The sequence below is a fragment of the Homo sapiens genome, chromosome X (assembly GCF_000001405.40).
Source record: "Homo sapiens chromosome X, GRCh38.p14 Primary Assembly".
Classification (NCBI taxonomy): domain Eukaryota; kingdom Metazoa; phylum Chordata; class Mammalia; order Primates; family Hominidae; genus Homo; species Homo sapiens.
In genome coordinates this window covers 17,176,105-17,189,881 of record NC_000023.11, presented here as the reverse complement: position 1 = coordinate 17,189,881, position 13,777 = coordinate 17,176,105, and the positions used below count along the sequence as shown (strand labels likewise).

At 42.7% G+C, this 13,777-nt stretch overlaps 1 protein-coding gene across 8 annotated transcripts in view; it reads right to left on the bottom strand.

Moving 5' to 3' along the window:
* REPS2 (RALBP1 associated Eps domain containing 2) overlaps positions 1-13,777 on the bottom strand; it is a 249,998-nt gene that overhangs the window by 6,774 nt on the left and 229,447 nt on the right. For 7 of the 8 annotated variants that reach the window (XM_011545603.3, XM_011545606.3, XM_011545605.3 and 4 more), the window contains one exon: positions 2-2,568. The exons of the other annotated variant lie outside the window; for it this stretch is intronic. In XM_011545603.3, coding sequence (XP_011543905.1) covers positions 2,491-2,568 — 78 coding nt within the window. In that variant the 3' untranslated portion in view covers positions 2-2,490. Of the gene's footprint in view, position 1; positions 2,569-13,777 lie in introns of those variants that run through there. 8 annotated transcript variants of the gene reach the window in all.

The window sequence follows — 13,777 nt, the reverse complement described above, 5'->3', positions numbered from 1 at the left end:
GTTAGGGACCTGGGCAGATAGACCAGCCACTCTCTTAAATATTGTCTGTGGCTATGCCATAGCAAAGGAGGGGACAAGGAAATGCAATTCTACTCTACACCTGGAAGTGGAGAGCCAGAAATATTTTGTGAAGGGCACTAATAACTATTAAGGAATACACACACACAGACACAGACACACACAGACACACAGACATACACACACACCACAGAGACAGAGAGAGAGAGAGAGAGGAGAGAGAGGAAAATAAGACAAATAAAAATCATTCTAAAGCAAGCTAGAAAGTAACATGTGCCACTGGGTGCGGTGGCTCATGCCTGTAATCACAGCACTTTGGGAGGCCCAGGCGGGTGGATTGCCTGAGCTCAGGAGTTCAAAACCAGCCTGGGCAACATGACGAAACCCCATCTCTACTAAAAATACAAAAAATTTGCCAGGCGTGGTGGAAGGCCCCTATAATCCCAGGTACTCAGGAGGCTGAGGCAAGAGAATTGCTTGAACCCGGGAGGCGGAGGTTGCAGTGAGCTGAGATCACGCCACTGCACTCCAGCCTGGGTGACAGAGCGAGACTCTGTCTAAAAAAAAAAAAAAGAAAAAAAGAAAAGAAAAGAAAGTGGCATGTGCCTTTAGAGAGATAAGTGGCATGTGCCTTTAGAGAGATACAGAGAATACACAATTGGAGTTTAAGGAAGGTTTCTCTTGCGTTAGATTAGGAAATTCTTCAAGCAGCAGGAACCTTTGAAATTAGGCCTTGAAAGATGGAATTTAGACTTTCAGTATGTTTATATTTCATAACATAGTATAGTAGTTAAAAAGATATCCTGGAATTATATTGTCTGGGTTTTAATGTCAGATCTGCCCAATACTAGCTGTTTGACCTTGGGCTAGCCACTTAACTACTCTGTGCCTAAGTTTCCTCATCTATAAAATGAGGCTACTAATAGTACCTGCTTCACAGGTTGGTGAGACAATTAAATGAGTTAATATTTGTAAAATTCCAGAATAGTGCTTGGCACATAAGTGCTATGAATGGTACACACACATATCCCTGATGACAATCCATTATAAATCTAAAAGCCCAAACAAGCTCTTTCTTCAAGATCTTTAAACACAAAGACTGGATAATAATAAAAAAAAATCAGAAAATGAGTTATCTCTGGTGAAATTTACCCTTAAATTTTAGTTTCAGTGAACAAGGCCTACAAACTGACACTCCTTTCAGTACTTTATAACAGGAAATTCAGATCAGTTTTCCAGATTTCTTAGCTATAGGTCAGCATTTTCCTTTCCTCTGTCCAGAGCTAGCCAGGGCTGGATATGACAGCTGAGCCTTTCCTAGGATATTTTTCTCACTAACTTTAGAGACTTTGGACATGTTTAGGAAAGTCTGTTCATCAAACTATGTAAAACCAGACCTTCACTCATCATCTGGCTGGGGATGTCCTTGAGTACTAAAGAGGAGTAGAAACCCCACAGGACAGATAAGCATGTGAAAATAAGGGATTTGCTCAGAGACACTCTGTCCTCAAAAAGAGTGGGACCAGCACCAGGAGACCTTCACATCTCTTGGAAAGTGGGCAACCAAAGAAATATTTCTACCGTAAATGGGAAAATAGTGAAGCTCCTAAGAGGAGTAATCATGAAAATTTCTATTGGTCTAGCTTCTCTAAATGAATAAAGCTCTTTCAAGTATATTCCCATGTTTGGTTCTCATGACAACCCTATAAGAAGTGCAGGGGTGAGAATTAGTATTCACTCTCATTTCACAGCTAAGAAAACAGGCTCAGAAAGGTGAAGTGACTTGCCCATGACATTGCAGCTGGGAAGTAACCAAGAAGAAACTTGAACTCAGCGACGCTTATACCTCATTGTGGTTACTTCTGAGACCTGGTTTCCGAAAAAAGTGAAAGGCATACTGCTGGTGGGGTACAAAATGATATAATTTTATATTTTGTATATTTATTAGAAAAAACATAAAACCAGGACAAACTGGTGATGTGAAGCTTCCTTTTTTCAATAATTTCTATTTAAAACATTAGTCAATTTTGAGAAAATCTTAAGCAATTATTGGCACAGATGATTCATGGATGTGGCCAAAATTGTGAAGGTGGTCCCCAAAGGTCTGAAGGCTGGAAGCCCTGCTGAAAGGTGGTTGGAAAGAAGAGTGACTTGGGTATGGGTTCTGTAGGCCTGGCTTTGTCACTAAAGGACCATGTGACCTTGGACTAGCCACTGAGCTCTCTGAGCTTCTGTCGTATCCTATGTAGAATGACAGCATTAGTTGCAGTAATTTCTGGAGCCTGTCCAGCTGGAATCTTCCAAGATAGAAGCTGGGTGTTATGTCCAAGAAGAGTGTGAAGGGCTGGGTTTCTTTGGCCCCTTCTCCTGCAGTCAGCTTTAATTTGCCCGAAATAAAGCTGACAGGAGGCTGCTGCATTCCGGGCACATTCCTCTGTGTCAGCCGCTCTAGATCTCTTTTCTCAGGAGCTTCTAAGGAGGGCCCATTCGGCAGCCTGGATTTGAAGGTCTCCTTCCCTCTTCTTGGCTGTGTGCCCTGGTCCCTGCAGCCTGCTTAGAAGGGGAAAACATGACAGACAAAGAGGGAAGGAAGAGATTTCTGCAGAGCCGTCCTCCCATAATGAAAGAGCAAAAGAAAAGACTTGTAAAGATTCCAGCAGGGAGGGGATTTAGGGCAGCAAGAGGAATAAAATCCATGATAGGCCCACTAGGAATGGGATCGGGGTCAGTGGGAAGGTTTTTCGGAAAAAGCCATGGTTCCCATTGTTTTAATTTTTTTTATTTCAATAGCTTTTGAGGTATAACTAGTTTTTGGTTACATGGATGAATTGTATAGTGGTAAAGTCTGAGATTTTAGTGCACCTGTCAACTGAGTAGTGTACATTGTACCCAATATGTAGTTTTTTTTTTATCCCTCACCCTCCTCCTACCCTCCCTGCTTCTGAGTCTCCAATGTCCATTATACATGGTTCCCATTTTAATGTGTCTTAGGTACTTGTGGGTGGGTGGAACAATGGCAGCTCTCCTACCACTGAATCAGGTCAGCACCCAGAACAAGAAGGTACAGGAGGGTCACCATCAGCTACTAAAATTATGAGAAAATCCAGGGCCACCTTGACCTGCTTTGTGACCTTGGGCATGAACTTAATCTCCCTGTGCTTCTGTGTTTCCATATGTGAAACGGACACAATAACTTTATTTCCTAAGGCTATGGTGGGGATTAAATAAAATAATACATGTAAAGCCTGGTGATAAGAATACAATAAATGCTACTGATTATGTTTACTACTGGTAATCTTATACTGGAAGGCTAGCATAGTGTTCTAGCTGGAGTGAGACAAATGTGAGTTGAAATCTTGGCTTGACCACCAATTAGTCCTATAACTTCGGGCTTCAGTTTTCATTCATAAAATGTGATACTAATGGCACTCACCTCAAGAGAGGGTTGTCATAAAGACTCAATTGCATAATAACATTAAGCTCTGAGCAGAATGTCCACACATTTGAATTGCTCAATAAAGGATAGTTGTGATAGACGTGAAACTGTACTCCCAAATCCTCCCTCAATGAAAGACTCATTGCCCCAGCTGCAAGGAATGCTGCCAGCAGACAGTGTCCACTGTTAGCACCTTCAGGGACTGTGTGTCCCTAGTAAGTTCTCTGAAGCAGAATCCCCCCACTTTGGGGTGTCCTCAAGATATTCAGCACAGCACTGCAAATATGGTAGGTCAGCTCTAAGTACTTATTGATGGGCTGACTAATTTAACGACTTGCTTCTGAAATATGAAGTATACTTTGAAACAGTTCAGGTGTGAGGAGGGAGAAAATCCTATGTAACTTCATTCTAATTCCACAGCAAGGATGAGGTTGCCCTTGCTAGCATTTCTAGCCAATTTAAGAAGATTTTTTTTTTCTTTAGATAGGACACAGAGCCCCACCTTTGGGGGATCCAATTTAGTCCTCATCAAAATCCCTCCACTCCCTCCCAAGGCCTGGCTGGAAGAGAGGACACTCGCTTCATGCTGACCTTGTTTCCAGTCAAGACTGCCTGTGAAAATGCAGTCTTGGCAGATGTGCCCTTTTGAGAAGATTTTTATCTTACAGAACGTGACAGATTTTCAGCCTCACTCTTCAATTTAAAGTTTCTCATATTACCCCCTCCCCTCTCTCCATTCCAACTTGGGTAATTTTTCTCTACAGCGACAGTTTCTCAGTTGGTGGTTGCATTCCAGAGTGGGTTAATGTGAAAGGCGGAATTGCCACATCTTGAATAACTTAAGCCCAAGTGAGGACTGAATATGGGATTGACCAGAATGTAGCACAGTTCTGGGCTTTTGAGCCATAGTTTCCAAACACCAGTCCATGGACCAGGGCCAAAGTTCTGCTCTCGCGGAGTTACAATCCAATGGGGGCATGATAAAATGCAATACTGGCTGCCATGCTTTGCAAATTCTCTCATCAAGAGGAAGACCCCATTTCTGTATACCTTGAATCTGGGCTGGTCTAGTGACTTGTTTGACCAATCCAATGCAACGGAAGTAACACTGCAATTCCTAGCTTAGAGTTCAAGAAGCCCAAAATCTCCCACTCTCAAGCTCTTGGAACACTACAACTGCCATGTGAACAAACCTGGGCTGACTTGCTAGAGGATGCAAGAACATGTGAAGAAAGGCCCCAGTACTCCAGCCTTCCCAACGAAGACCATTATAAACCAACCAGCTGTAGTCGATCCTTCTGCTGACAGCACGTGCATGAGCAGCCCCAGCCCAAATCAGCCAACCCTCGCCCAAGCAGAAGAAACACTCAGCTGAGCCTAGACCAAACTGGCAACCCACACAATCATAAGTAATTGAGTAAGTGATTATTTAGGCCATTAAGTTTTGGGGTAGTCTGTTACACAATAAAACTGACAAAGGGGAAACTAACTGATATGGGGAAGACAGAAAGTAAAGAAGAAAACAAATAGATGGCCATGATAATATGGATTGTAACACGTACATTAAAAGAAACAAACAGAGAACAGACACTTCTCAAAAGAAGACATTTATGCAGCCAAAAAACACATGAAAAAATGCTCACCATCACTGGCCATCAGAGAAATGCAAATCAAAACCACAATGAGATATCATCTCACACCAGTTGGAATGGCAATCATTAAAAAGTCAGGAAACAACAGGTGCTGGAGAGGGTGTGGAGAAATAGGAACACTTTTACACTGTTGGTGGGACTGTAAACTAGTTCAACCATTGTGGAAGTCAGTGTGGCGATTCCTCAGGGATCTAGAACTAGAAATACCAGTTGACCCAGCCATCCCATTACTGGGTATATACCCAAAGGACTATAAATCATGCTGCTATAAAGACACATGCACACGTATGTTTATTGTGGCACTATTCACAATAGCAAAGACTTGGAACCAACCCAAATGTCCAACAATGATAGACTGGATTAAGAAAATGTGGCACATATACACCATGGAATACTATGCAGCCATAAAAAATGATGAGTTCATGTCCTTTGTAGGGACATGGATGAAACTGGAAATCATCATTCTCAGTAAACTATCGCAAGAACAAAAAACCAAACACCACATATTCTCACTCATAGGTGGGAATTGAACAATGAGAACACTTGGACACAGGAAGGGGAACATCACACTCTGGGGACTGTTGTGGGGTGGGGGGAGGGGGGAGTGATAGCACTGGGAGATATACCTAATGCTAGATGACAAGTTAGTGGGTGCAGCGCACCAGCATGTCACATGTATACATATGTAACTAACCTGCACATTGTGCACATGTACCCTAAAACTTAAAGTATAAAAAAAAAAAAAGAAACAAAGAGGATGAGGTGATGGAGAAGTACTATGGGTAACATATTTGGGGAAGACCTCTCTAAAGAGGTGACCTGTTTGCAGAGATCCAAATGAAAGGAAGGAGCCAGTTACGTGAAGGCCTTAGGGCAAAGGAAATTGCAAGTCAAACCCTGTTAGGTGTGTTTTCAAGAAACAGCATAAAGGCCAGTGTGGCTGGACTGGTGAGAGAGGGAAAATGTGGCCAGAGGGGAAGTCAGAAAGGTGAGCAAAGTTCAGTAAGAAACCACTGGAGGGCTTTAAACAGAAGAATGACATCATCTCATCTCCATCTTTTAGAGTTCCCTCTGGCTGCAGGGTGGAGGATGGATTGTAGAATTACAAGAGTGGAAGCAGGAAGCCTGGTTAGGAGGCTGTTGTAAGGTCCAGGGGAGGGAAGATGCTGCTTAGACTAGAGAAGTATCAGTGGTGGTCGTGAGAAGGGATCAGATTCTGTAATTATTTTAGAAGGAATGCCTCATACAGCACATATGCTGGCTTGAAGCAAAATTTTGTAACTTGATCCATGGGTCTAATAAACTTTAGGTCACTGGTATTGCTTTACTCTTCATATACTTATTCTACAACTTTTATTGAGGAGTTTTTTTGGTTTAATTTTATTTTTAATTGACAGTAATTATATATATTTTTGGGGTACAATGTAGTGAATAAGTGTATCATTTCTTCATATTTCATACAGGTTTTTATTGTTAATTATTAATAATAGGCATATGAAGTTTTCCTCATACTTACTAAAGCGGATAAAACATAAATCCAGCATCAGCTGTGTGTGGAATAGAGTATTTGGTTCATAATTCCTGTTTTTACAATTTTGTGAATAGGATTCAAATTTTCCCTAGTAAGTTCTCTGAAGGCAGAACCTCCTTCAGGGAACATTCCTCCTTTGAACATTTTTCACCAGAATTCCCATTATAGTCTCCCAAGATATCCACATTTGCTTATAAACCACTTGCTTAAAATGTTATTTTTTTTAGAAGTTAATTTGGAAACATTGGTTTGTTTAACAATTATCAAGAAACTGTATAGTTTGCTGATTAAAATCATGGACTCTGGAGCCAGTCTGCCAGATTCAAATTTCAACTGTGCCATTTACTACTTGTTTGATGCTTGGCAGATTTTTTGAAATGAGGTAATAATAGTACCTCCCATATGGTGGTGTGTGATGATTAAAATACTCAGGACAGCTCCTGGTACGTAGTAGGTGCTCGCTCAGTGTTAACTATTCTTGTTTCACGTCAAATGCCCTTGCAATGCCAGTCACTGGGCTGCATGTCTTTGTTAGTGTGACTATTTGAAAGACGCAAAATAACATTCCATTTTAAAATGGACAAAAATAATTTTATTTCTGATTTTCCCTAATTCAGCACTCCCTTCCTAATTTTCTGACTCTGTGAGTTCTGACTGTACTTCTGTTGTTTACTAATGACTGGCTGTCATGCTCACTGTCCCCTTGGCCAGCAGCAGCCTTGAGTTCTCAACTGTGGATTATGTACATAAGGAAAAAAGCTGCCAACTGCATAGGGCATGGAGACTATGTCTGAAACTATCATGGTAAAGTTACCTGTTGCTCCAGAAGAGGTGGTTGCAGTTAGAGTGGTGCTGTGGCTGTTCATCTTGCAACCTTATTCGGTCAAATTTCCAGTGCCTGGGCTGAAAAACTGGGGCTCCGCAGGCATCTCTCTCTACTTCTATGAGGTCTCTCCATGTGGCTTCTCCAACATGTCAGCCACACGGTAGCCAGACTTCTTACATGGGCAGCTCAGGACTCCAATGGAGCCTGTCCTAAGATAGATAGATAGATGATAGATAGATAGATAGATAGATAGATAGATAGATAGATAGATAGATAGACAGATAGAGCACACTAGGTAGAAGATGTATTGCCTTTTATGACCTAGCCTTTGAAGTCTATTATTACTAATCATAAATAACACTGTATTCTATTCCTTGAGGCTGTTGCAAAGTCCCACCCGATATTCAGGGGGAAACAACATAGACTCCTCCTGTTGATAGGGGAATAGCAAGATTCTGGAAGAGCATGTGAAACTGGAAATATTATGGCCATTTTTGGGAAAATATGCTCAGCTACAGACAGAAAGAGGCAGTCAGTTCAAGCACGACTTGTGCTGGCCAAGAAAATACCCATGTGAACAAAAAGTCACAGGCCCTACTTGAATTGGCTAACTGTGTAGTTTTACTTGAATGGCCTTACCTTTATCAGTTTAAGAGAAAGAGTGATTATGGAGCAAGGGAAAGGGGAAAAAGAAAACTCATGTTTATTGAGTACCTATTTGTATGTCCTGAATGCTTTACATAAAGCTAACTATGGATCAACCACTATTGAGCACATGAGTCTATAGATGGCAATTTGAATTGGATTCAGCTGTGCACTGTTCCTGAGCTAGGCCAGGCTCAGCAGATTGCTGGGCCTGCTGTGCATCACCAGTCAGCTGCTAGTCAGCTGAGGCTCCTTGGTTCTCTTCCATGTGGTCTTGCATTCTCCAGCAGGCTAGCCCAGGCTTGGTCACATAGTGGAAGGGTCCTGTAGTAGCAAGCCCCATTATGCAGGCACTTTTTGAGTCTCCTTATGTCATGATTGCTATTGTCCCATTGACTGAATCAAGTCACATGGCCAGACCAGCTCCACAAACATTGCAAGAGTGTGGATACAGGGAAGGGAAGAATTTGTGACCATCCTTGCAACCTACCATAGCCTGAGACAGAAAATGTTGTTCACCTATTTGTCCACGATAATTTCCCTTAGAGGTCACAGTGAGAGAAGGACCATGTTAAAGACTCCTTATGCTTCCCCCTAGGGGGGTGAGGGAGGAGCAGGGCCAGAAGTCTCCAGGGCTTCTAGTCTAGGGCAGCCCTACATGGTCCATGATCATGAAGAGAAGTCCAGGTACTATGTCCAGCCTGGAATGAAGACAGTATACTTTTAGGCAAGGAAGAACTGAGTGGGAGAAAAGAGATATATTTCAAAATATTTCTGATTGAAATATTGGGGATTTGAGAGGTAGAGAAAGTGAATTTGAGGGTGCCAGCAAGAGACAGCATGGTTAAGAAGGCTGGTTTTGCAGCCAGACTGCCTGGGTAACAATCCTGGCACTCTGCTGCTTACCTATTTTTGACATTGAGATGTGATAATACATGTAAAACACAAAGTTTCTGGCACACAGTCAAGGATTAATGAATCATCATCATTAGCATCATCATCATCACTATCATCTGTGTGGAGGTTACTGACAGGAAAAGTGGTAGGCGAAAGGATTTTGACGAAGTGTTGTAACATTTTACTTGCCCCCACAATTTTCTTTTGGCATTTCTGTGTGTGCATGTGTGTGTGCGTGTGTGTGTGTGTGTGAGAGAGAGAGAGAGAGAACCAAAGCCTGAAGTGCTAATTTCTTTCTTTTTTGTCTGTTGGACTATGTTTTTCAGGTGGAACATCAACCGAGACTGGATATGCGGAACTAAGGCTTATTTTGAGGGTAATCACACAAAATGATGTTCTCCTTTAATCCTCACAATTACACTGCAAAGTAGGCATTGTTATTTTTCCTTTTTCCAGGTGAGGAAACAGAAGCCCAGGGAGGTCAGGTAGCTTGCTCAAGATCGCTTAGTATATAGCAGATCTGGGATTCAAATCTAGATCTGTCAGTTTCCAAGTTCCATGCCCTTTATTCCTTTCTTTCTTAAACTTAGTAGGAAAGTTTCTTTTCCTTTCCTGCACTTTCTTTATTTCAAAAACAAGACATGGTCATTGTACCAAGTGAAACAATCCAAAGATGTATAAATTTAATATTTTTACCCTAAGACCCTCCTCAGTATCACCACTGCGACCATGATTCCTGCCTGCCCCACTCCCATATATTGCTGATGTATCTAATGTTATCATCAGGGTATGTGTCTTTCTATGAAATTCTCCATACTCCTACAAACATATATACACATGTACAGAGGGAGTTAATTGCTGTTCATTTTTACAAAAGTTGGATCATGTTATAAATTACTCTGCAACGTGTTTTTCTACCTTAACAATACATCATAGCCATCTCTCTAAGGCAATTAATATAGAGCTAACTGATTCTTTGCAATAACTGCACAGTCTAAGGTACAAACAGGATATACAATTTGTGCAATCATTTCTAATGGCCTGGTGTTCTGGTTGCTTCAAGGGTTTTTTTCCCCTTACAGCCATAGCACAAAGACATCCTTATAGATCTACTGATGATGTTATATCTATAAAATGTATTCTGAAATGTGGGACTCTTGGGTCCCAAATGTTGCAGTTACCTATTATTACTGTGCAACAAACCACCCCAAAACTCATTATTAAAGTTTATTGTTAAAAATAATAATAATTTATGTATGCCCTCAAATATCCAATTCAGGAAGGACTCAGCAGGGATGGATCATCTCTGTTTTCAGTGGTATCATTTGGGGCAGCTCAACTGGGCTGTGGAAGATCTACTTTCAAGATGGTTCACTTATATGGTTGGTAAGCTGGTGTCAGCTGTCAGTTAGGAGCTGAGTCAGGATCGTGGGTCAGTGTCCTTGGTTTCTCTCCACTTAGGCCACTCCACAGGCTGCTTAGGCTTTCTCATAGCATGGTGACTGAGTTCTAAGAGTGAGTGTCTCAAAAGAATCTAGTAGAAGTTGTATGATCCTTTTAGAAGCTAACCTCTGAAGTCATGCAACATCACTTCCCACCACATTCTATTTGTGGAAATAGTCACAAATCCACCCAGCCAGCTCCAAAGGGAGGGGCATTAGATTCCACCTTTTGATGGAGGAAGGCAAAGTTCTAGAAGAACATGTAAGATAGAAGCTACTACTGCAGCCACCTTTGGAAAATACAGTCCTGCCAGACAAAGATCACAGAGCTAGTAAGTGATGAAACTAAGATTAAAAAGCTGGTCTGTTTTTTCACTCCATAATGTGATGTTGTTTCATTAGTATGTGAGTGGAGTCATCTCTTAGGGTTGGATTTGGTGTATGCAAACCAAGTCAAGAAAAGACTGAACAGGGGAGCCAACTGTGCACTAAACTTTATGGAAATTAACCTACCAGGATTATCCAAATACTTTTTTTTTTTTTTTTGAGACCGAGTCTCGCTCTGTTGCCAGGCTGGCATGATCTCAGCTCAATGCAACCTCCACCTCCCAGGTTCAAGCAATTCTCCTGCCTCCGACGCCACCACACCTGGCTAATTTTTGTATTTTTAGTAGAGACAGGGTTTCACCATGTTGGCCAGGATGATCTTGATCTCCTGACATCATGATCCACCCGCCTTGGCCTCCGAAAGTGCTGGGATTACAGGCGTGAGCCACCGCGCCTGGCCTATCCAAAGACTTCAAGAGCCCCTGTCTGTGGTGAGATGTCTTTATGCCCATAGCGTAGCAAAGTTAAAGACAAGGGGTCTAGGGACCCACAGGGACTTCCTAATGGCCTTGGCAACCAACTCCCTTCCAGAAGATGTCAGTCTAGCACTGCAGCTCCCATTCATCATTTACCATCTATCCCAGAGGGAGTTATCATTCAACCACAATAATTCACAGTCAGCAAAGAAAGGAAAAGCATCTCAGCTCAGCTTTTTATTCTATGCTTTTCTTCTTTTTACAGTTTTGGTTTGACAGAATGGAGCAGTTCAAACCAGGAGACTGGAAGAATGAAAGATTAGCTGGGCAGAAAAGCTCCCTACCACATAAATGAACAAGGTTACATGGTCAGACAAAGCCCCGGAGGTAAGTGTGTTACTGTGCAAAGTGAGGCCATGAGTGCATTTCAGAATATTACATTAAAAAAATGTTCTTGGGTTTTTGGCCTTGCTTATTTATTCCACTTAGATGTCTCCTCTATTTACCAAAAACATAAACCATGGCCTTCCTCTGTGGCTACATCTACTTTGGGGGTTTACTACTTTTAGTTAACAGTTTCATCTCCAAAGAACAATCCCCATACCCACATTCCATCCTCCTACACCTGTGCCCTCGCAACCCCCACTTGGCAGGTAACCCCTTAATGGAGTTCCAAATGTCTGTTCCTCCTTCATTCTGGAGGATTAGGCCTGTAGAGTTGAGACCAGACACTGACAGCAGACACACTCTTGGCCGAGATCCAGGGCAACTTCTCCCCCAACTCCTGATATTTTTTCAGTCATATAAGCTGTAGGTAGGACACCCCTTGACTTTAGGTTTCTCTCTACTTATTTCCCAAATTCGCAGGCCTAGTGTAGCAGGTTAAGGCAGCAAGCGAAAACTGAAACAGCTGGCATTAATCTAACCCTAAGTAGGTCTCAGGTTATGTTTCCCAGCAGCAGAGCCTGAGATAGGGATTTTTTGTTCAAGTGATTGATTGGAGGGGAGCAGAAAAGAGAAGTTTGCTTAAGAGCCTCAGACCTTTGCATACACCATCTGATGACAGGCATCTGGGCCAGCTTGCCTCCCAGTTCAGCCATAAGCCACAAGGCCTGCCTCCCCTCAGCAACTGCCCTGTTTCTCTCTATTCTTGGCAAGGTAATGAGCCCCTCTATGTTTTCTAGACCAAGGTCGTCCCCACTAAAATGCAAATAGGTCTCCTGGAAGCTACTGAAAGTAGCATCACAGATAAACTTTGCTTGGGCTGGCCCTCGTGTTTCTGAAAAGTGTCATGGAAAAGGCACACAGGTTTGAGTCCTGACCACTCCTCCTCGCGTTCCAATGAGAAAGGATTTGGGAGCACTTTCACCTGGGAAAGGGAGCTAGCAAAAGAATGCTCATTTGACATCAACTGGGCCCTTCCTTGCCATATTTGTTCTGAAGGAAATTTAAAGGTATAAGCGTCCTTGATCACAGAGGGTTATGGAAATTCTAAGGGAACACTTTCAGTCTTAATGGAGTGCCTCTAAATCATGTGTCTTGGTAGCACAGATCCTGCTGACTTGGGATTTCAGAATTAGCAGCTGTGAAAAATCCCTACCGTCCATCACTGTGAAACTCATCATTTCCCTGGGGTCTGAAGCCAGCAGAGCTAAGGAAGAAAGAAAACACACCGAGGAGGAGACACTGCAGGAAAAGCAGTCAGGGATTTCGGAGTCACACACTGACATTCATCATCATTAGTCAAACGAAGAGATAAGCCAAGGGCCGGCAGCCTCCCCATTATTGACTCCTGCCTCTGAAGGGCCAGCAGAAGGTGGGCCAGAGGTCTTGTGAGAGGCCCATGGTCTTTAGCCAAAGTGCCACTTGGGTGTGAGGTGGCCCCATAGAGACCTTCAGCAGAGCCATGACTGGGTACCCTTGGTGTTCCTGCCCTGACCTATGCACGAAGGGCAGAAATTTGGTAGAAGGTAATTATCAATTAGAGGAGCACTGAAATGAAGTGTAGGATGGGTTTCTGGAGAGGGTGTGGGTAAGATCAAGAAGGTAAGGCCTCAAGAATGAAGAGACTTCAGGGGCATACGTGGTTGTAAACAGAACTACTCTACGTTCACTGAAATCTATTTCCTTCTCTTCTGCATACTGCTGAGGAAGCAACATTCAGTCCTTGTTCTCTGCTCTGAGCTGTCAGGAAATGGCCCACTAGGGTCAGGCTGGAATCAAATCTCTGTGTAACACTCCAGAGTCAACTCAGTCTGCTTAGTTAGCTTCGGAAGCCATCAATTACCTGCTGCTTTACCCTCTGGTGTGGGTAAATCTGTATTAAAAGCCAGTTGAGGATTGTAGAAGTAGCACTGAGAAGGGAAGGAGGCCAAGCAAGGGTGCATCAGGGAAGACCCCATGGAGATAAACCTTTGACTTAATCCCACAGCAGTGCTCTGGAGATAGTGTCTCCATCAGGGGACAAGGGGGAGTTTACACCCTGTACCCATCAGCCATTTTGTCAATGGGCTATCCCAGCTGTCTG